Source organism: Homo sapiens, chromosome 6, assembly GCF_000001405.40.
Source record: "Homo sapiens chromosome 6, GRCh38.p14 Primary Assembly".
Taxonomy (NCBI): domain Eukaryota; kingdom Metazoa; phylum Chordata; class Mammalia; order Primates; family Hominidae; genus Homo; species Homo sapiens.
The window spans coordinates 4091510-4115689 of NC_000006.12; the positions used below are offsets into that span (position 1 = coordinate 4091510).

Genomic DNA, 24180 nt, shown 5'->3' on the forward strand with positions numbered 1-24180 from the left:
CGCCTAGTTTATAAGGCACTGCTCCCGTGACCTGATCACTTCTTAAAGACACACCCCCACCACGTAATGCCATCACCTTGGGGGCTAGGATTTAACATGAATTTTGAGAGACATAAACATTCAGACCATAGCACCACCCTACCCAGCTTTTGTAAGGTTCACTTCCATCCAGTTTCAATAGAAATTGCATAATCTTTTGACGGAAATGCTCCTGAGATCCTCCTATATTCAAGCAGACTCCAAATGACTACAGCTGACCCTTGAACAACTTACTTGAACTGTGCAGGTCCACTTGTAGTGTGGCAGAAAATTAAAGAAAAATAAAACCAATTAAAGAAATAAGCTTTCCTGGATTAGGCTGACTTGTCCCAGAGGCAGCGACAGGCACAGCCCAGACACAGAAAAAGTCTTAATAATACTATCTACTGTGCTCTGGAAACTCTTCCAGCACTCCCTCAACATAGCGAGAAGAAAAACCAATTTTCCTTTTATTCAGTTTATAGATTTCTGTTCTCTGTAACTGGTAACTTAAAAGTATTCTGTTTTATCTAAGCAGTAGAGTGAAGGTCATGAGCCTCTGAACAGGCCTGAGTTATGGCCACCTGGGCGCCGTAATGAAGGTTATAGGATAAGCCCGTACCTGGGCAAAGTCTAGATAACAGACATCTGGGTTGCTTAGCGATGGTCATGTGTAATCCTGAGTTATGAACCTGTTACAACTTAATTAACTGTCTTTATCCTGCCTCTGTATCCCTGCTTTCACGCCAGTATACGCTTGCTTCAAGCTAGCCTACCCCCTTTTATGAAGTATGTATAAAAGGCAAGTACTGTCTTTGTTCTGCGCCCAGTCTTTGGACGTTAACTCTGTTGGGTCTAAGTGCACTCAATAATAAAGATATCCTGTATACACCCCAAGGTCTCTCTCTGGTCCTCTTGATCCGGCAACAATAGGTGGATTTTTTTCAGTAAATATATTGGAAATTTTTTTGAAGATGTGCCACAATTTGAAAAAATTTGTAGACCAATCATATAGTCCAGAAATAACAAAAAATTAAGAAAAAGGGTAGTGGGCGTGGTGGCTCATGCCTGTAATTCCAGCACTTTGGGAGGCTGAGGCGGGCGGATGATTTGAGGTAAGGCATTCGAGACCAGTCTGACCAACATGGTGAAACCCTGTCTTTACTGAAAATACAAAATTAGGCGGTGTGGTGGTACATGCCTGTAATCCCAGCTACTTGGGAGACTGAGGCAGGAGAATTGCTTGAACCTGGGAGTTGGAGGTTGCAGCGAGCTGAGATTGTGCCACTGCACTCCAGCCTGGGCGACAAAGTGGGACTCAAGAAAAATTAAAAGAGATGTTGTGAATGCATAGAATATATGTAGATACTAGTCTACTTTATCATTTAGTACCATAAAATGTACACAAACCTATTAGGAAAAGTTAAAATTTATAAAAACTTACACACAGAAACACTTACAGACTGTACTTGGTGCCATTCACAGTCAAGGGAAATGTAAATGAGAATAAAGATGCAGTATTAGGCCGAGAGTGGTGGCTCACACCTGTAATCCCAGCACTTTGGGAGTACGAGGAGGTAGATCACCTGAGGTCAGGAGTTCAAGACCAGCCTGGCCAACATGTTGAAACCCCGTCTGTACTAAAAATACAAAAAGTAGCCAGACGTGGTGGCCGGCATCTGTAATCCCAGCTACTCAGTAGGCTGAGGCAGGAGAATCTTTTGAACACGGGAGTCAGAGACTGCAGTGAACTGAGATCATGCCATTGCACTCCAGCTTGGGCAACAAAAGCAAAACTCCACCTCAAAAAAAAAAAAAAAATTATGCAGTATTAAATCATAACTGTAGAAAATTAACTGTAGTAATACTGTAGTGCTGTAGTAATTTCATAGCCACCTCCCGTTGCTCTTGCTGTGAGCTCAAGTGGTGTGAATATCCACTTAAAATGCCATGTGATGCTAATCATCTCTGTGGGAGCAGCTCATGTCTCTAGTAAATTGCATTTCACAGTAAAGTGATTTCACAGTTCTCATGTATTTTTTGTGTTTAGTGCAATACCATAAAACTTGAATAACACTATGGGACCCACAAAAAGTGCCATTAGTGATGCTAGAAGTACTCCCAAGAAGCAGAGAAAAGTCATGATGTTACAAGAAAAAGTTGAGTTGCTTGATATGTACTGTACATTGAATAGTTGCCTGCCACTTCAGACAGACGATTTTTCTTGTAAACAGATGGTGTAAACTTATAGTGTTGATAAATACAGTGCTGTCAATGTATTTCTCTTTCTTATGATTTTCTTTTTATTTTTTTGAGACAGAGTCTCACTCTGTCTTCCAGGCTGGAGTGCAGTGGTGCTATCTCCGCTCACTGCAACCTGCACCTCCCAGTTGCAAGTGATTCTCCATCTCAGCCTCCCGAGTAGTTGGGATTACAGGCACCCGCTACCACACCCGGCTAATTTTTGTAGTTTTAGCAGAGATGGGGTTTCACCATGTTGGTCAGTTATTCTTGAACTCCTGACCTCAAGCAATCCACCTGCCTTGGCCTCCCAAAGTGCTGGGATTACAGGCATGAGCCATCGTGCCCGGCCATGATTTTCTTAATAACATTTTTTTGCTTACTTTACTCTAAGGATGTGATATATAATACACATAACATATACAATATGTGTTAACCATTTATGTTAGCAGTAAGGCTTCTGGCCAACAGTAGGCTATTAGTAAAAGTTTTGAGTGAATCAAAAGTCAAAAAAGTAGCTGGGTGTAGTGGCATGGTACAGGTGCTAGACTACCATGCTCAACTACTTGGAAGACTGTGGCAGGAGGATTGCTTGAGCCCAGGAGTTCGAGACCAGCCTGGGCAACATAGCAAGACTTTTTTTTTTTTTTTTTTTTTTTTGCGACAGAGTTTTGCACTTGTTGCCCAGGCTGGAGTGCAATGGCGTGATCTCCGCTCACTGCAACCTCCACTCCCGCGTTCAAGCGATTCTCCTGTCTCAGCCTCCCAAATAGCTGGGATTATAGGCATGCACCAACACGCTCAGCTTTTTGTATTTTTAGTAGAGACAGGGTTTCACAATGTTGGCCAGAATGGTCTCGATCTCTTGACCTTGTGATCCACCTGCCTTGGCCTCCCAAAGTGCTGGGATTACAGGCATGAGCCACCGAGCCTGGCCAAGACTCTTTAACAAAAGAAACTTATGTGTTTATTTTCAACTGAGCAGGGGTCAGTGCCCCTAACCTCCATGTTATTCAAGGGTCAGTTGTATTTTCCAAGGGATTTACATATTTATTTACTTATTTATTTATTTATTTATTTTTGAGACAGAGTCTCAATCTGTCGCCCAGGCTGGAGTGCAGTGGTGCGATCTCGGCTCACTGCAACCTCCACCTCCCGGGTTCAAGTGATTCTCCTGCGTCAGCCTCCCGAGTAGCTGGGATTACAGGCACGCGCCACCACACCTGGCTAATTTTTGTATTGTAGTAGAGACAGGGTTTTGCCATTTTGGCCAGGCTGCTCTCAAACTCCTGACCTCAAGTGGTCCACCCACCTCGGCTTCCCAAAGTGCTGGGATTACAGGCATGAACCGCCAAGTCCGGCTGGGGTTTACATTTAGCTCAAAGAAAATCTGTGCCCTTGCTCCCCATACCTTCACCCCGTTGATAAAAGCACAGTTGGCTTCCAACACTGCCCTCTTTTCTCTGTGGCCACAGGCAGCTGTGATCCCAGCCACTCACCATTGTGTTTCAAGGTGTTACAGGCTCAACAAAATATATGGCTATATATTGGTGATTTTGCCTCAACAACATATATTGTCCCTCAACAAGATATATTGAAGTCCTAACTCCCAGCACCCCAGAATGTGACTAGATTTGGAAATAGGATCTTTACAGGGTGCAGATGTAATTAATTAAACTTAGGTGAACGTAATATGTGTAGAGAGAGTTCTTCATCCAGTATGACTGGTGACCTTATAAGAAGAAAGAGACACGCAGGAGCCGATGGCCTTGTGACAGTAGAGACAGAGATGGGAGTGATGCATCCATAGGCAAGGAATACCAAGGATTGCAGGCAAACACCAGAAACTAGGAAGAGACAAAGAAAGATTCTCCCCTCAAGGTTTCAGCGTGGCCTTGCTGACATCTTGATATCTGACTTCCAGCCTCCTGAATCGTGAGACAATAAATTTGTTGTTTCAAGTGACCCACTTTGTGGCACTGTTAGGACAGCCCTAGGAGACTGAGCACCAGTGTCAGGAGACATAGTCCCATTCCTCAGGTACTTCTCTAAAGTCCCCTTAAAGCCAAGGGTGGGAAGGGGAATGACATAGTACACAGCACTGCCCCAACTCTGTGCCTAAAGAAATCCTCAAGTGCCTTAAGGAATCCTGAATGAATCCTCCGTTTTTTCACATATTGATAGGGATGCTGTGCACGCATAGGTGTCCGGCACCTACTCGAGTTTTCTCAGACTTGCGGCCTTGGACAAAACAAGACAACAGAAAAATGTATATTTTCACATCCTGTTACATGTATATGTCCTTCAACTTAGCAATTCCACTTCTAGTTATTATCCTACAGAAACAACTTGTACCTGAGCCCAAAGATGGATAAATATGGCCGTGCACTGAAGCATTGTTTATAATAGTCAAAAATTTAAACAACCTATGACATTCAGTAGCAGAAGAATTAAACGAAGGCATATATCCACATAGTGGAATACTATTAAAAAGAAAGTTGACATTAACATGTCTACAATACAGATTATAGAGTTTTAATAAGCTGCAAAGGAAGATACACAATATGGATCCATGTATGCCAAAAGAAAACTATACATTTGTACATATATATGTGTATATAAATGCATAGAAAAGAGTTTTGAAGGAGACTTAGGAAATTCAGGACGGTGGCTACATCTGGAGAAAGGATAGAGCTTGAAGAGGGAAAATGAAGCAAAACTTTCCCTTTTTGCTATGTAGACTTCGCTGAGTTGTTTCATTTTAATTATTCCAATGGAAACCTTTTACTTTTGTAATTAAAATGCAACATTAACACTGAAAATGCAGTAATTATGTGAAGTTGGAGAAATGAGTTTTGATTTTCTAGAGACATTCTCATTCTATGTTGATTTAGATTTTGTCTCCGTAGCCTCCCAGTGTAGACGGTGATAGACGTCGGTACACATTTAGCAGCCGGTAATTCCTGCCATGTACAACTGCCAAGCAGCAGTGGGGTGCCTTTGTTTCAGAGGTATTTGGGTGCAGTGATTCTTTGCTATGGTTGGAAGCCAGTTTAAGGAGGTTCATGCAGCTGAGGTGAACAGCATTAAGGGGTAAGAAATGACTCCTCAGAGTTCTGAGTTTGTGCCTTCAGGGAACTGGCCTCAGGCTGAGTCCAGTCACTGGGAGCACATTGGCCTTTGAGGTCTTAAATTCATCACTAAAAATGTGCTCCGTTGCCAAGATGCCATTTCCAAACATATAGTGATTTCCTTGCATATGCATCCTGAAGACATGACCCTATTGCTCTGACTTTCATCCGTCAGACCAAGGATTTAAAAATAGATACTGCTGTCTTGCTGCTGCTGGGTCTAAAGCCTTCCTTCTAGAAGAAATTTCTTTTGACCTTAAAAATAGGTTTTGTTCTTTTCCTGTCAATCCCCTCTTCACCTGCAAGATGCTTTGCCTGTATTACACTATATTGGTTACCCAGAAATGATTACATGAAGAAAGAAAGAAAAAGAACTAAACATATTTTTTTTAAAAAAACCCAGGTTTTTATTTTATATTTTAAATATAAAGTTAACTTTGGGAGGCTGAGGCAGGAGGATCACTTGAGGCTATGAATGAGATCAGCCTAGGCAACAAAGTAAGACGCTCATCTCTGCAAAAAATAACAAAAATTAGCCGGGTGTAGTGGTGCATGCCTGTAGTCCCAGCTGCTGAGGAGGCTGAGGTCAGAGGATCGCTTGAGCCCAGGAGGTCGAGGCTGGAGTGAGCTATGATTGCACCACTGCACTCCATCCTGGAGCTCTCATGGAGGTGCTGGCTGACCAGGGAGGGATGCCATTCCATTTCTGATAACATAGGATCTAAGCCCCTCTGGTATTGACTTCATCTTCTCCAAGTGGCTCTACCATGCAATTGTAGCTGTACCGCTGGCCATCCAGAGCTCCTACAGTAGGCCGCAACAGTCCAAACCTCAAGTCTCAGTTATTGGAACACCCAAAAGAAGGAAGGCATTTCCCACCGGCATAGCTGAAAATAGACATGCTTATAACAGAGCGAGAAAAAACAGTTCATTTCTGGCCAGAAATGAATTTTGTGGAATCAAAAAGAACAGTAAGTGACACTCCCACATTCTAACTGACAAAGCATGCTGGAAGTTCAGTCCTATGTTGTAATCCTTGCTCAGACAAAATCATCAATAAAACGGGGCCCCAAGTTGTGCGGCCTGACAATAATGTTAACATTCACCCTATTTCTTCTGGGAAGTTTCAAAATGTGCATCTCCAATTAAGTATGCAATTAAAGGGAAAATGAGAATCACAATAATAATAATTGTATGGTAACTTGCCATTAGTTTGAGAATCATGCACACATAACCAACTCTATTTGTGTGGTCCCAGCATGCCTGCTTGTTTGCTCATTCTTTTTTTTTTTTTTTTGAGACAGAGTCTCACTGTCGCCCAGGCTGGAGTGCAGTGGCGCGATCTCGGCTCACTGCAAGCTCCGCCTCCTGGGTTCACGCCATTCTCCTGCCTCAGCCTCCCGAGTAGCTGGGACTACAGGCCCCCGCCACCATGCCCGGCTAATTTATTGTATTTTTAGTAGAGACGGGGTTTCACCGTGTTAGCCAGGACGGTCTTGATCTCCTGACCTCATGATCCGCCCACCTCGGCCTCCCAAATTTTGGGAGGTGTGAGCCACCGCACCCGGCCTTGTTCATTCTTTTATTTACTTACAATGTATCTGCTAGATGTCTAGGACCAGGCTAAGATCTGAATGGTGCTCAGTAATATTGTTGGAATAAAGGAATGACAAAGCTAAATAGGAATTATTATTATTATTATTTTGAGATGGAGTCTCGCACTGTCACCCAGGTTGGAGTGCGATGGCACGATCTTGGCTCACTGCAGGCTCTCCCTCTCGGGTTCACACCATTCTCCTGCCTCAGCCTCCTGAGTAGCTGGGACTACAGGTGCCCGCCACCATGCCTGGCTAATTTTTTGTATTTTTAGTAGAGACGGGGTTTCACCATGTTAGCCAGGATGGTCTCGATATCCTGACCTTGTGATCCTCCCGCCTCAGCCTCCCAAAGTGCTGGGATTACAGGCGTGAGCCACCGTACCCGGCCCAATAGGAATTATTAAGCTGCATATATATGTTTTCTCAAATCAGTGCCTTGTTACTCTTGCTATGCAAAGATGGAGAGGAACATTGAATGTATTAATGCTTATTCTATTACCAGGTGAGAATCCTGAACTCTCTGGCTTAGAAAGAATCTTAGCAAGACATCAGTTGCCAAAAGAGATTAATCTGACCCCAAAGCCGAACAGAATGCCCCCGTGGAAAAGAAAAATCATCAACAATGTAACTGACGGGTGGAAGAAATGTCACTTGTTGAAGAGAAACACGAAAGAGCCTCCAATGTCCACCATAGTTGTCAGGTAGACTCTAATTTCTGCCTTATGTGGATATATTTAGAGATACACAGGGTGATCACAAAATCTCTATATGCCTTAGCTAAAAAATGATAAGCACTGTTCTATATAAAAGCACATGGGCCCCATTTTTACCCACCACCAAGCTGCTAGAGGAGCCCTCACTGGGAGTAAACTCATGGAAATGGGAGCAGGAGTGTGGGTCCTCCATGGCCCATTGCAGTCTAGAATAGAGAGCAGAAATCTAGCAAGAACAGAGTGGGATTCTTGGAGAGAAACCCAACCACTGAGCTTTGGGGCTTTTTGGCTGCGTAAGTTGGGAAGCAGCTTGGTTTTTCACACCCACCATTGGCATGACCAGGGGCTAGGATACCATAGCAGGACATGGTGGACCTTTGGCTTTATCCCTGGTCTGCCAGACTGTACATGGAGAGAACTGGAGCACCATTGGACAGTCTTAACAAGAGGAGTGACATCATCTGACCCAAATCCTCTCTAGCCTCCCAAAGAATGCATGGGTGGAGGAGAGCTGTTGGGAGATTTTACAGCTCTGCAGGTAAGGGATGGTGGCCCAGGTGGTAACAGTGGGGATGTGGAATTGGTTGGATTCCGGTGCTCAAAGTCATAAGCTTTGGTTCCTTGGCAAATTATCTTTTTTTGGTGCACTTCTTTCCCTGCTTATGCCAGATAGATGGTGTTTCTATATTTGTTTTTTTCTTTTCTTTTCTTTTCTTTTCTTTTTTTTTGAGACAGAGTCTCGCACTGTCACCCAGGCTGGAGTGCCGTGGCGCGATCTCAGCTCACCGCAACCTCCGACTCCTGGGTTCCAGTGATTCTCCTGCCTCAGCCTCCCGAGTAGCTGGGATTACAGGCATGTGCCACAACACCTGGCTAATTTTTTTTGGTATTTTTAGTGGAAACGGGGTTTTGCCATGTTGGCCAGGCTAATCTCAAACTCCTGACCTCAGGTGATACAACTGCTTGGCCTCCCAAAGTGCTGGGATTACAGGCGTGAGCCACCGTGCCTGGTCTATATTTGTTTCTTTCGTATTGCTGCATGTATGGCAATGATGCCTACACTTTGTACATAGTAAGTATTCAAGCAATTTTGCCGGGCTGTCAGGATAAATGTAGATGTTGCTACAAAGACAGGATCATTTCTGATTTGAAGGTAACATAACCGGGAGAGAGTTCCAGCTCATGAATTTGCCTGAACTGGAAGCTTCCCCTGGGATTATTGCCCTGGTGAAACAGAGTCCTTGTCTGCATTTTTTTCAGTGTCCTCAGTGGCATAATTTGCCAATTTGATTTAAATATTGGTAGCCAAAGAAGGCAAAGGTATTATTATAAAAGAAGGTGGTCAATGGAACCATGGTGTTTTCTGGACAAAGCAAAGACACTACATTTTTTGTCCAGAAGTAGGTAAAGGTTATATTAAGTGATGATATCTGATTACTCAAGTGAAGATTATTTGACCATGCTTTGGAAGCCTGATATGATTTGGCTCTGTCCCCACCCAAATCCCATTTTGAATCGTAATCCCCACATGTTGGAGGAGGGGCCTGGTGGGAGGTGATTGGATCATGGGAACAGATTTCCTCCTTGCTGTTCTCATGATAGTGAGTAGTTCTCAAGAGATCTGTTGGTTTTAAAGTGTTGCACTTCTCCCCTCGCTCTCCCTCTCTCTCCTGCTCCACCACGATAAGATGTGCCTGGCTTCCCCTTTGCTTTCTGCCCTGATTGTAAGTTTCCTGAGGCTTCCCAATCATGCTTCCTGTTAAGCCCGTGGATCTATGATTCAGTTAAACCTCTTTTCTTCGTAAATTACCCAGTCTCATGTAGTTCTTTATAGCAATGTGAAGACAGAATAACACAAGACCTATTTTTAAACATTCAAGTTTCACAACCATAGAAAGTTTGTACACCTCAATTTTAGGTCCTGATGTCTTCATATGAAGTTATAGATCTTTATATCCTAGTTTGCTTTCTGAAAATATAGCTAGAGTATCAGAACATAGGAAATGGTACTTTTTTTTAACATTTTATTTTACAAACATTTATTTGCTTTCCTTAAAAGCAGGGACTGTCAGCCTATCTTATTTATTTTTGTATTCCTAGTGTTACAGGTTGGAGTCTCAAGCGCTGAGATAGAAATAAGAATGCAAAAGGTTTCCTGGGAGTGGTGTTGCATCAAAGTGGAAGCAGGAAAACAGTGTTGGGCAGGGATTCAAGAGGTGGAGAAACAGGCTTCGCCCCAGTGGAAGGAGGTGCAAAGTCATGTTGCAGGGGGCTTCGGTACAGGACAGGTGGGAGGATTAGGCCCATTTTGCAATCAATCAATCATGAACCTTGTCTTGGTTGCTGTGACTCCAGATTCCTGAAGGATCTGCTGAATTAACTGTTCTAGTTCTGATGATGCCTCCTGGCATTAATGATTCTTCTCCTATTACCTGGTAACATGGTAAATATTGTCATTTGATAACTGTATCATTCTTAATTCTTTGTGACTTAACTGACACCCTTGAGAGAATTCATTCTTTAGCCAAAGCAAGCCTGACTATTATTAAGAATCATCAATAATAGCTTTGTCCATAAAACTAGAACTACCATATGACCCAGCAATCCCACTACTAGGTGTGAACCCAAAGGAAAGTAAATCAGTATGTCAAAGAGCTCTCTGCCCTCCCATGTGCATTGCAGCACTATTCACAACAGCCAAGATATGCAATCAACCTAGGTTTCCATCAACAGATGAATGAATTAAAAATGTGGTGTATATACACAAGAGAATACTTTTTAGCATAAAAAAGAAGGAAATCCTGTCATATGAGGCTGCATGGATGAGCCTAGAGGACATTATATTAAGTGAAATAAGGCCCAGAAAGACAAACTTCAAAAGGTTCTCACTCATTTGTGGGCGCTAAAAATTAAAACAGTTGTATTCATGGAGGTAGAGAGTAGAAGAATGGTTTCTAGAGGCTGGGAAGGGTAGTGGAGGTAGTGAGAGGAAGTGGGGAAGAATACTGCATGCTCTCGTTCATATGTGGAAGCTGAAAACGCTGATCTCACAGAAGTAGAGAGTTGAGTAGTGGTTGCCAGAGGTTGGGAAGGGTAACGGGAAGGGGTGGATAGCCAGAGGTTGGTTACCCGATACAAAAGTACAGCTAGACAGGAGGAATAAGTTCTGGTGTTCTATAACACTGTAGGGTGGTTATAGCCAACAATAATTTTTTGTTTATTTTCAAATAGCTAGAAGAGGGCATCTTGAATGTTCCCAACACAAAGAAATGAAAATTGTTTGAGGTGATGACATGCTCATTACCTTTATTTGATCATGACACATTGTAAACATGCATCAAAACATCCCACTGTATCCCATAAATATGTGCAGTTATTATGTCAATTTAATCGAAGAATAGCTTTGTTTTTGTCTAAGAGCTATTGAACACTACTGATTCGTGTGCCCTTGACCACCTGTAAAATGGTGTTGCTAATACCTCATGTTGTATCAGAAAGAGTTGTGACACTGATAGAAAAACGACTGTGAAATTGAGTTTTGACAAGTATGAAGTACTATTTGAATGCATTGTACAGTATTTTCACGTGTTAGATTGAGGCAACTGTAGGTCCTAACCTTGAACCTGCCCTGGCAAACATTTGCTCAGTTTATGCTGTGTATCCCCGCTAGCACGGAGAGGATAAGGCCCCTCTCTCACATGGCAATAGCAGTTTTAGGGCCACAAAACAGGCAGATCATACGTGAGGCCTGCTGGCTTTGACAAAGTTCCTTCAGTGCTGTGCTATGTAAACAGATCAGCAGGCACAAAAGCCAGGAGTCCTGGGACCATGCCGGTAAACAGATTTTCTAAGTCTAGAGCTGCAGATGGTGGTGTCTTATCCCTGTTGGTGAACCTGGCAGGATTCCAACCCCCAGCTCAATAATACTGTAAATCCCTACTGGATACTGCATGTAAATTATAATTACTTGTAAACTGTGTTTACTGGCTCAGTATGCCATATTTATATGGACTCTAGGGCTTAATTTTTTTTTCTCTTGATAAGTGTGACAAAAGCAGTACTTGAACAGAAGAGAGCTGTGTGTTCCATGTGAGAACTTTAGTTTAGATTCCATAATGTTTTTGTTGCATCGATGTGGTAGCAACTGAAGACGGGGCCTGGTAGTCGATGGGTTTTATTTTGCCCACCTCTCTGCCATAGACATTTGCAATTTATCCTGACTTGGGGCCGCTCCTCCTCTATACCAAAATTCATCTTTTATTGTACTTACCATGTTATAGTGTCTGTGTTGATTTGCTACTCCACTCGTGTGCTGTGTAAGCATTTAAGAAAAACGTTTAATGTTTTCTTTTTCTTTTTCTTTTCTTTTTTTTTTTTTTTTTTTTTTTGAGATGGAGTCTCACTCTTGTTGCCCAGGCTGGAGTGCAATGGCTCAATCTTGGCTCACTGCAACCTCTGGCTCCCAGGTTCAAGCGATTCTCCTGCCTCGGCCTCCTGAGTAGCTGGGATTACAGGCATGCACCACCACACCCAGCTACTTTTTGTATTTTTGGTAGAGACGGGGTTTCACCATGTTAGCCAGGCTGGTCTCGAACTCCTGACCTCAGGTGATCCTCCCGCCTCAGCCTCACAAATTGTTGGGATTACTGGCGTGAGCCACCGTGCCTGGCCATTTTTCTTTTCTTTTTTTTTTTTTTGAGATGGAGTCTTGCTCTGTCACCTGGGCTAGAGTGATCCCCCCAGAAGTGGGACCAGAAATCCTGAAGCAGTAGCCGCAAGCCAATCTACATGGAAAGGCAGGAAAACAACGCTTGAGTGCCTGGGTACAAGGGAACCGAGGCAGGTTTGGAGAAAAAGACCTGGCACGTGGTGTGGAGGCTCCTTCTGGGGACTTGGCACTGGATTTTATGTGGGAATGAAGGTGACTGGGCTGGTCAGGGCATGTGTTATCCCTCTGGAATTTAGAGGCAGGTCTTGGCAAATACTTGCTGACACTTCCTACACCTGCTGACTTTCACGTACCCCTGCTGATTTCAATGGAAGGGACATGTGTATGTTCTGATCTTGGGGAGCATCATTCCATGCCCCTACTAGAAAAGATGTCTCAAACACTTTCTGTGACGTGACTGGTTCACATCTTCTGCTTGCTTTAAATTTTCTTTGCCTTATTAAGTTGTGAGAGTTCTTTTCATATTTTCAATACAAAATTCTTTGATAAAAGCATTGCAAATATTTTCTCCCAGATGGTAGCTTGCCTTTCATTATTTCATGATAACACAGAAGAACAAAGGTTTTACATTCCCAATGCATCAATTTTTTTCTTTCACAGTTTTTGCATTTTATATTCTAAGAATCCTTTGACAAGTCCAAAGTTGCAAAGACTTGCTCCTATATTTCCTTACTGAAGTTTTGTAGTTTTAAGCTTCAAATTTAGGTTGGTAGGCCAGGCACAGCGGCTTACGCCTGTAATCCCAGCACTTTGGGAGGCTGAGGCGGGCGGATCACAAGGTCAGGAGTTCGAGACCATCCTGGCTAACACAGTGAAACCCCATCTCTACTAAAAATACAAAAATTTAGCCGGGCGTGGTGGTGGGCGCCTGTAGTCCCAGCTGCTCGGGAGGCTGAGGCAGGAGAATAGTGTGAACCTGGGAGGCGGAGCTTGCAGTGAGCCGAGATTGCCCCACCGCACTCCAACCTGGGCAACAGAGCAAGACTCTGTCTCAAAAAAAAAAAAAAGTTTAGGTTGGTAGGCCATTTTACTTTATTTTTGCATAGGGTTTGATATTCATTGGTTTGATGTTAATTTCTTTTTTCTATTTGGCTATCTAGTTGACCCATTGGCATGTGTTAAAAAGATTTTCCTTTCCGTATTGAATTGTTTTGGCACTTTTTTTTTTTTTTTGAGATGGAGTCTTGCTCTGTCATCCAGACTGGAGTGCAGTGGTGCGATCTTGACTCACTGCAACCTCTGCCTCCCAGGTTCAAGCAATTCTTCTGCTTCAGCCTCCAGAGTAGCTGGGTTTACAGGTGCGTACCACCACACCCAACTAATTTTTGTATTTTTAGTAAAGACGGTTTCACCATGTTGGCCGGGCTGGTCTCAAACTCCTGACCTCAAGTGATCCACCCACCTTGGCCTCTCAAAGTGCTAGGATTACAGGCATGAGCCACTGTACCCGGCCTGTTTTGGCACATTCATAAAAAATGAATTTCCACATATATTTGAGTGTATTTCTGAATCCTATTTTGCTCCATTTATCTACATGTCTTTGCCCAAACAAGACTTTCTTACTGTGGCCAGGTCCTGAAATAAGGTAGTGTTAGGCATCTGACTTTGATCTTCTGCTTTAAAAATTGCTTTGATTATTTTAGGTTCTTTGTATTGCCATAAAAATTTAGAACCAATTTGTTAGTTTCTACAAAAGGACTACTAGAATTTGTTTGGGATTGAGTTGAATCAAGATCAGTAGGGGAGAACTTCCATCTTAATAACACTGAGACTTTCAACGTGGACAGGATATATTTGCCCTTTGGTTAGGTCTTCTTTAATGTCTCCTAACAATGTTTTGTAGTTTTCAGTGAAGAAGTCGTGGATATTTTTTGTTATATTTATTACTAGCACAGGGGTAAAAGGAGCTTTCCTTTTTCCCTCTGAAGGTTGATGAAAGGCGTCTGCTAAACTTGACAACAGACAGATTAACAGGAGAAAAGGCATACAGATTTATTAAGGTGCAAGTGCTGAGAGTCACACAAGGTATGAAAATTCAAAGAAGGGCCAGGTGGTTGACGATTAAATGCCTGCTTCATAGGGGAGAGGAAGGTGAGGGATGTAAGGAATTTTAGAGGAAAAGTAAATTATATTTAGGGAAGATGACTGGGCCTAAACAAGAGACAATAGCCTGGGACAAAGTCCCTCTGAACTCTGGGAGAGATGGCAACAAGTTATGGGAAGGTGAGGGGAGGAACTGCACCATGAACAAAGTTTGCCTTATGCAGATAAAGTCCCTCAGAATAGCCCTCAGAAGAGTACATGAAAAGTCTGTCTAGGGGGTTGTGGTGACAACCTTTATTTTATCTTTGGTGATTAATCTTTCCTGGTTAATGAGAGTTCAGACAGAATATTAAAGGCAATTGTTTTTCTCGGAGAGTAACTTCCCTCAGTCAGATATGGGAACTTCAGAGAGAGCCCCTCCCTGCACTTGTGGGAAGAAACAAGGGAAGGTTAGAGAGACCTTGGTTTGGAGGCAGAGTCTAAGGGCTTTCATTTAATTCAAAGCATTCAGCGTGCCAAAGTGCCATACTCTAGAGTATCGTTTTCTGAGCCTCAAAACTAGGTATTTTATAGTTTATAGCACCACTGTAAATGAAAAATATTAAATATAAGGATACAATTGATTTTTGTTAGTTATTGTGGTATACTACAAACTTGTAAATTAATTTATTAGTTCTAGTAGCTAGTTTTTAGATTCCCTGGGATTTCTCTTTTATTGTGATAAGAACACTTTACATGAGGTCTTAACAAACCTCTCAACAATTTTTAAGCGTGCAATACATTATTGTGAACAGTGTTGTAAGCAGGTATTTAGAGCTGATTCATCTTGATTGCCTGAAACTTTAAGCCTGTTGATCATTAATTCCCATTTCCCCCTCCCACAACGCCCTGGGATGTAACCATCATTACGCTCTTTGATTCTATGAATTTGACTGTTTTAGATGCCTCATATAAATGGAATCATGCATTATTTCTGTGACTGGCTTATTTCACTTAGCATGTCCTCAAGGTGCATCTACGTTGTCACATATTACAGAATTTCTGTCTTTTAAAAGGCTGACTAGTACTTCATTGTACGTATATACCACATTTTCTTTATCCACTTCTCTGTCAATGAAGATTTACATTTTTCCCATACTTTGGCTATTGTGAATGGTGCTGCGATGAATATAGAGGTGTTAATGTCTCTTCAAGATTTTGATTTCAATTCTTTTGGATAAATACCCAGAAGTGGCATTACTGGATCATATAATTCCTTGGGATTTTTTTTAATGTAAATAGTCATATTATCTGCAAATAGAGAAACATTTTTACATCTTGTTTTCCATTCTTTGTCTTTTATTTCCTTTCTTTGCCTTATTGCAATGACTAAGATTTTCAGTACAATGTTGAACAGATGTGGTAAAAGCAGACATCTTTCATTTTTTTTCTCAATCTCAGAGAAAAAACAATTCAGTGTTTTATTTACTCTAGGTTTCTGCAGATTCCTTTTATAAGTTTGAGAAGTTCCCTACTGTTTCTAGTTTGTTTTTATCACACATGAATGTATAATTTTGTCAAATGCTTTCTCTGTATCTATTAATAATATGTTTATTCTATTAATATGGTGAATTGCATTGCTTTTTAAAAATATTTCTTATAGTAAAATGTGCATAACATAAGATTTACCATTTTAAGTGCTTAAGTGTAATTAAGTTAGTGGCATTAAGTACATTCCCATTGTTATGCAACCATCGTCACTATCCTTCTCCAGAACATTTTCATCATCCCATAATGAAACTGTCTCTCCTTTAAACATTAATTTTCTACCCCTTTTTCTTCTCAGCACCTGGTAACCATTATTCTATTTTCTGACTCTATGAATTTGCCTATTGAATCATACAATATTTGTCCTTTTGTGTCTGGCTTATTTCACTTGGCATAATGTCTTCAAGGTTCATCCATGTTGTAGCATGTATCAGAATTTTATTCTTTTTTAAGGCTGATAATATTTCATTCTATGTATAGACTACATTTTGTTGATCCATTCATCTGTTGATGGACACTTGGGTTGTTTTTACTTTTCTATCTTGTGAATAATGCTTTGTATGCAAATATCTGTTCAAGTCTCTGCTAGTCAATTATTTGCGGTATATACTCTGCTATGGTTTAAAGGTCTTCTCCAAAACTCATGTTGAAATTTAATTGCCATGTCACTTTACTGTTTGAGTAACGTTGGTGTGAAGCTTCATTGATGCCTTTTGCTTTATGTCCTGCTTAAGTCTGTGTGAAGGATTTGTGTTTTTCTGCCTTACAAACATAATTTAATTTATTGGACAGGAATTCATGGATAGTAATGCTGTCTGCCCCTTTACTTCAGAAAACACAGTGACTCTAGTGGATTTGAATAAGTGAAACTGCTCTGAAATGCTATGGAAAGCCGACTCCCCAAAGAGTGGTTTCTTCTAGAAGTTTGAATTTGTAGCTACAGTTTCCAGGAAGAAAAATAGTAGTTGGATAACTTGGTAAAATAATAACATCATTTTCATTTTCTTCCCTTTTCTTAACTTTGGTTTCCTAAAGGAAGAAAATAAGTACATAGCACATAATCTATTTAAATAGATTTAAAGAGAGTTGCAAAATAAATCACCCGGTCTAGCTCTTAAGTGAATAAAACAGATTTTGTTTGTGAATAAAATCTGTTGATTGCCAACACTACCACTACAGTATCCCACCAAGGGCTTCATGTGTCAGCTCAGTGCGATCTCCTTTAACTCTGCAGCACCGCTGCAGCTGCCGACGTAGCCTCGGTAGGTGGCTATTAGAGCTCTACCATATACAGTGGTGCATCTTCAGATTTATGCATCAAACTAAAGACATGTCCAAGTCCATTTTAATTTCCTCAGTGTTTTTATGGGAAGTTTTATGGACCTCCCCCAGTTGTCTTTTTATTTGGGGTTATGACGATCACGTTTGATAATTACAGTGATAATGTTTCCACGTGATGCTTTTGTTTGAACCTGATAAAATTTAGTGAAACTTTGTAATGATCTATGTGCACTTTTACTTGTAAAATGGAATTTCTGTATGTTTATACTTGTAAATATATTGTTGTTAGTGCTCCTGTTGCTCATGGTGTCCTGCCTCGCATTTGTGATTCTGTTAATGACTTGTATCTTAACTAAGTTCTTAGTGGTGTTGTAATAGGGAGATGGGGCAGGTGGGGTGTTATTTGTACCACTGAATCTTCATTAATTTGGTTCTTTACTGTTTTGAGGGGAGAAAGAATGTGAAATGGTTTGTGTATTATTGAATTTTAAGCAATATTTTAGAAGCTGTGTGACTGCTTTAATAACTTTTTCCCAGTGTTATTTGAATCATACTACCAGTTTTACTACAGCCGAATGACAATTGTGTGAAAGTTACTGCCTTCATAAGATCAAGTCACCACTGTTACACAGCTGACATATATTGTATTACCTTTGCAGCTAGTAAACTATAAAGTTTAGATACTGAATCTCATTACAGGGTTATTTATATAATGTGACGTTATTCAGTACTGACAGACTACATGAAGTAGTTTTAAAATCTAGTGCTATTTTTATTTTAAAGGTTAGCAATGAGGAGGAAATGTGATCTGGCTGTGTTTGTCTTCTGTACAAAGCCTGAAATGCTTATGGTTTTTTGGTTAACAGCCACAGAGGGCAAAGTTTAAGACTTTCTTGTAAGGACTAACTGTTCTTTTCAAGCCACTGTTTGTTTTTCTAAAAGCAGGATTTGCTTCCGTAGCAGGCAAGTTCCTTGACGTGGAATAGTGCAACCTGTATATGGGCTATTATAATAGGAAAGACATCTGTATTTGCACAGTTTAAATCATTCTTAAATTTTAAACATGTGAAATGTCCCCAAAAATCTTTAATTTTTTGGTAATTTGTACTCTTTTTGTGCACATGTTGATTTCTTAATGGTAAATCCTTCATTTAAAGGTAGTGTTTTCTGTTGAGAATATTTTCATGGAATAAAACAATCTTTTCGTGGCAAAAAAAAAAAAAAAAAAGAAATTTAATTGCCATGTGATGTATTGAACGGTGAGACCTTTAAGGTGTGATTAGGTCATGAGGGTTCTGCTCTCATGAGTGGATTAATGCCATTACTGTGGGAGTGGGTTAGTATGTCAGAAGGTCAATCTCCTTTTTCTCTCTGTTTCACTTGTGTGGTTCCTTGACATGCTATGCCTTTGCCATGATATGATGCAGCAAGAAGACCCTTACCACATGTGGCCCCTCAATCTTGGATTCCCAGGCTCCAGAACCATGAGCCAAATAAATATATTTTCTTTATAAATTACTCAGTTTATGGTATTCTATCATAGCAACAAAAATGGACTAAGACATACCCAGAAGTGGAATTGTGGGATTGTATGGTAATTATGCCTATTTGGGGTCCCTTAAGATTCCATATGCATTTTAGAATACATTTTACATATCTGCAAACACATTGTTGGGACCTTGATAGAATTACATTAAATCTGCAAATCACCTTGGGTAGTATTAATATCTCAATAATACTAAGTCTTTTAATCCGTGAACATGTGAAGTCTTCCCATTTATTTATTTGTCTTCTGTAATTTATTTCAGTAATGTTTTGTAGTTTTCACTAAGTATTATGCCTCATTGGATAAACTCATTCCTAAATTTGGTTATTTTTGATGTTATTATAAATTGAATGGTTTTTCTCAATTTCCTTTTTGGAATTTTCATTGCTAGTATTTATTTATCTTTAATCTTTATTTTTTCCTTCTTTCTGCTAGTTTTGGATTTAGTTTGTTCTTTTTCTAGTTTCTTATGGTGTAAATCTAGGCTGTTTATTCAAAATCTTTCTTTTTTCTTAATGTGTTTGCAGCTGCAAATTTCCATCTTAGCACTGCTTTCAGATCCTCCCATAAGTTTTGGTTTGTCGTGTTTTCATTTGTGTCAAGATATTTTAAATTTTTTGTGATTTTTCTTGACCCATTGGTTATTTAAAAGTGTGTTAATTTCTACATACTTGTGAATTGTCCAGGTTTTTGCTGTTAACTTCTAGTTTCATTTCATTGTGATGAGAAATGATATTTTGTATTTCAATTTTTAAATCTATTAAGATGTCCTATGGCTTAACATATGGAAAATGCTCCATGTGCACTTAAAAAATACATATTCTGTTGTTGTTAAGTGCAGTGTACTGTATGTGTCTGCTGGGTCCAGTGGGTCTATAGTGTTTTTTAAGTCCTATATTCCCCTATGATCTTCTACCTGGTTCTCTATCCACTGAAGAAAGTGGAGGTATTGAAGTTTTCTACTATTATTGTAGGGCCATTTATTCTTCAATTCTGTCAATGTTTGCTTCATATATTTTGGAGCTCTAATATTTAGTGCATATGTTTATAATTGTCATATCTTCTTGGTAAATTGAGACTTTTAGCATTATATTATGTCTGTCTTTGTCTCTTTTAACAGTTTTTGACTTAAAGTCTATTTTGTCAATTAGTATAGCCATTTCTGCTCTCTTTTTATTACTATTGGCATGGAATATCTTTTTAATCCTTCCACTTTCACCCTACTCATATCCTTAGATCTAAAGTGAGACTCTTTTAAACAGTATATAGTTGATCCTGGTTTTATACCCACTCTGCCAACTTATGATTTTTGATATGTTTTCAATCCAATTACATATAAATTGCTGAAAAGAAAGCAATTAGTTTTGCCATTTTGTTGTTTTCTCTGTCCCTTACAGGTTTTTTTCTCCCTCATTTCCTTGATTACTGCCTTCCTTCATGTTTAAAGTTGTTGTAATGGCATATTTTGATTCTCACTTCTGCTTGCGTATATTTTCTTGGTGTTTACTATGTGCACTACATATAACATCCTAGAGTTATGATGATCTATCTTAATTGATACCAACTTAACTTCAATTGCATATAAAAACTCTACTTCCTTAAAGCTTTTCTCCCCTTATGTTATTGATGTCACAAATTATACGGTTTAATATTATATATTCATTAACATATATTCATAATTATTTTATGCAATTGTCTCTTAAATCCTGTAGAAAATCAAAAGTGGAGTTATAAACCAAAATTACATTAATACTGTTTTTATATTTGTTCATATATTTACCTTTACTGGAGAACTTTATATTTTCATCTGTCTTCCAGTTACTATCTAGCATTATTTCATTTCAAACTGGAGGACTTCCTTTAACATTTCTTGTAGGGCAAGTGTAGTAATAATAAATTCCCTCAGCTTTTGTTTTTATGGGAATGTCTTAATTTCTCCCTCATTTTTGAAGAAACATTTTACCAGGTATAGAACTCTCAGTTGACAGTTTTTTTTAAAATTTTCAGCACTTTAAATATATCACCCCACTGCCTCTAGTCTCCAAGGTTCTTGCTGAAATAATACTCGGATAGTCTTATCGCAGATCTCTTGTATATAGTCACTTTTCTCTTGATGCCTTCCAAGATTCTCTTTATCTTGCACTTTTGTCAGCTTTGATTATGTGTCTTCGTATGGGTCTCTTCAGGTTTGTCCTACTTGGAGACCATTGAGCTTGGATTTGTATATCCATGTCTTTCCTCATATTTGGCAGGTTTTCAGCTATTATTTATTCAAATAGTCTCTCTCCTCATTTTTCTCACCTCCTTCTGGGACTCCCATTATGCATATATTGGTCAGTGTGATGGCATCTCATAAGTCCCTAAGCCTCTGTTCACTTTATTTTTTCTTCTGTATGCTTCTCAAATTCAATAATTTCAAATGAGCTGTTTTCAAATTTGCTTATTCTTTCTTCTACTTATTTGAGTTTGCTGTTGAACTCCTCTAATAAAATTTTCAAATTAGTTATTGTACTTTTCAGCTCAATATTTTTTTTTATAATTTCTTTGTTGATGTTCTCATTTTGTTCATATGTTTTCTTGACTTTCCTTTGTTCTTTGTTCATGTTTTTCTACAGTTCTGCGAGTATATTTGACATTTGTGGTTTTTTTTTGTTGTTGTTTTGAGACAGACTCTCACTCTGTTGCCCAGGCTGAAGCGCAGTCATGTGATCTTGGCTCACTGCAACCTCTGCCTCCTGGGTTCCAGTGATTCTCATGCCTCAGCCTTCTGAGTAGCTGGGATTACAGGTGTGCAGCACCATGCTCTGCTAATTTTTTTGTATTTTTAGTAGAGATGGGGTTTCACTATGTTGGCCAGGCTAGTGTCAACTCCTGGCCTCAAGTGATCTGACTGCCTTGGCCTCCCAAAGTGCTGGGATTATAGGCATGAGCCATCGCACCTGGCTGACAGTTGTTTTAAAGTCTAGTAAGCCTGATGCCTGTGTTTCTTCCAGAACTGTTTCTGGAGATGTGTTTTGTTCATTTCAGTGGGCCATCTTTCCCTGGTTCTTTGCATGCCTTATGATCTTTTTTTGAAAATTGGGTATTTAAAAAAAATATGGCCACTCTCCCAGTCTTTGCAGACTGGCATGTAAGACCTCACTAATTTGTAAGTCCATGAGGTCTTCACTAATCTGAGATTAGTCCAGGTCTTCTCAGGTCTTTTCTAGGCATGCTTCCTTCCTGTGAATGTGTGTGTGCTCCCTGTCCCCATCAAAGGTGATTTTAAAGGTCTTCATTTCCTAAACAGTCTCACTGCAGCTTTTTCTTAGGGCCTTAGATATTCTATTGTATTCCTCTGTAATCTCCTGCCCTCAGAGGTCCACAGGGCAGCAATCCCTGTGTAGTTTTCATGTGCTGCATTGCTCACCACTGCCTTCTGTGGCTTCCAGCCTGAAATCAAAACTATTTGCTGTCTCCAGTCTGATACCTGAGTTGGACATTACAGACACCATTTCTGTAGGCAGCCCACAGACAGGCCAGGATGTTGCAACAAGTTTCACTCTGCTCCTTCTGTCCAAGTGTTCACATTTCCATGTTTCTTTTTATGTCACATCATTTTGTAAATATTATGTCATATGGATCCTGGATCCATATGACAGCTTCTTCTCAGGGCCTTAGATATTCTATTGTATGGTTGGATCCAATATTATGTCATATGGATCCTGGATATTTACTGTATTTACTATATTGTGGCATTGGATGGAAGTTATGTTTTTGTGGATCATGTTACAATCATCTGGAAAATGCCATTTTTGTTTTAGCAAGAAATCAATCTGGTTAGGTTCAGACTACAAGCTGTCTTGATCTTCTGTGGGTGGTGGTTAAAATCCCAGTACACTTCGCAAAGCCTTTGCTATGCTGGTTTGAGTCTGTCTCACTTATGAATCAGACTTATCTAGGTTCATACACAGAATTAGAGCTTCTTTCTCTTGGCTCTGGGAGTCTCTTCTTGCTTTCACTCTTTAGCCCCCAGAGGGCCCTTTTCCTTTTCAAAGTGTTTTTGTTTTCCTCAACTTCTATTTGGCTGGCCACTCCATGGTCACCGCAGCACCACCCCACAATAGGGGTGTGCCTCTGAGGCAGAAGTATTAGGTTGGTGCAAAAGTAACTGCAGTTTTGCCTTACTTCTAATACCATGCTCCGGAGTTAGATTCCAGCAATTGTGTTTATTTCTCATAATCTGGGAAACTTATCCTTGTGCAGTTGCTTCTCTGTATTTTGACACCCTTTAACAATCCACCTGCTTTTGATTAATTTCAGCATGCTCAAGTAGTTCTTTTTCGTATTTCTTCTAGAGATTTTAGTTGTAATTTGTGGAGGAATGGGCAGTAGTTGGCTTGTGCTGCCATTGTGGGATGAGAACTCTGCCTAGATTTTTATCTTCATTTTGACATTTACTGGGAGTTTGACTCTGGAGAAGCTAGTTTAATCTCCATGCCTCGGGATGCCTACTTGAAAATGGGTAGTAGCAACAGACCTACCTCATTTTTAATTTTTGGCATTGTTTTTGGTGGATAAAATATGATAATGGGCATTAAGCACTAGTAACTGCTCAATTGAAACGAATGCTTATTTCTATTCTTATATTTTCTATAAAACTGAACATCTTGGATTACAATTACTGGAATAAAAAATTTAGAACTAAAAAGTTAAGAGATTTGGTGAGTTAGCTAACTTTGACCTTAAAGGAAAGGTCAAAAGGAAGACTAAGAAAAGCAAAATATCCCATCCTTTTCTGTAGCCCTTGGAATTACACCCTCAGTCCTTGTCAAGTGATAGCTATGAAATCAAAACAGGGTGTTACAAGGACAATCAAGGCAGCTTGCAGGGATGCCTTTCATAAAGTACCACATTAAACAAGAATGGGACTCTAACAAATAAGAAAACAATTACTCATACAGAGCATTGCTTTCCAATGAAATGACCCAGTTTTCCCTTCATGCCTCTTTATTAAATTGTGCAAAAAAACCCAACTAAGATTCTTATTTGGGTTCTTATTCTTATTCTTGATTCTTATTTGTTTTCTAGTAATACTATTCCTTCCATTTTGCTCCCTTGCTACATGGCTGAAAAAGAACATGCAACCCACTGAAGACCTCAAGTCAGTGATCTGTAGGCTGTCAGCATTTGGCCCAATTCAGTCAGCCACTGTTTGTGGACGTCAAAGTGCTATAGTGGCATTCAAAGACATGACTTCAGCCTGTAATGCTGTGAGTGCTTTTCAAAGTAGGACCCCAGGCACCATGTTCCAGTGTTCCTGGCAACAACGATTCATGTCAAAAGACGTAAGACTCTCTACTACCAAACACCT

At 40.0% G+C, this 24180-nt stretch overlaps 1 pseudogene across 4 annotated transcripts in view; it reads left to right on the top strand.

Moving 5' to 3' along the window:
• Positions 1-24180, top strand: part of TEX56P (testis expressed 56, pseudogene) — a 51557-nt pseudogene that overhangs the window by 12301 nt on the left and 15076 nt on the right. For 3 of the 4 annotated variants that reach the window (NR_172627.1, NR_104464.3, NR_172628.1), the window contains one exon: positions 7491-7689. The product of NR_172627.1 is annotated as a testis expressed 56, pseudogene, transcript variant 1 (transcript). Of the gene's footprint in view, positions 1-7490; positions 7690-23897; positions 24155-24180 lie in introns of all 4 variants that reach the window. The other variant, NR_104463.3, reaches the window with a different exon arrangement.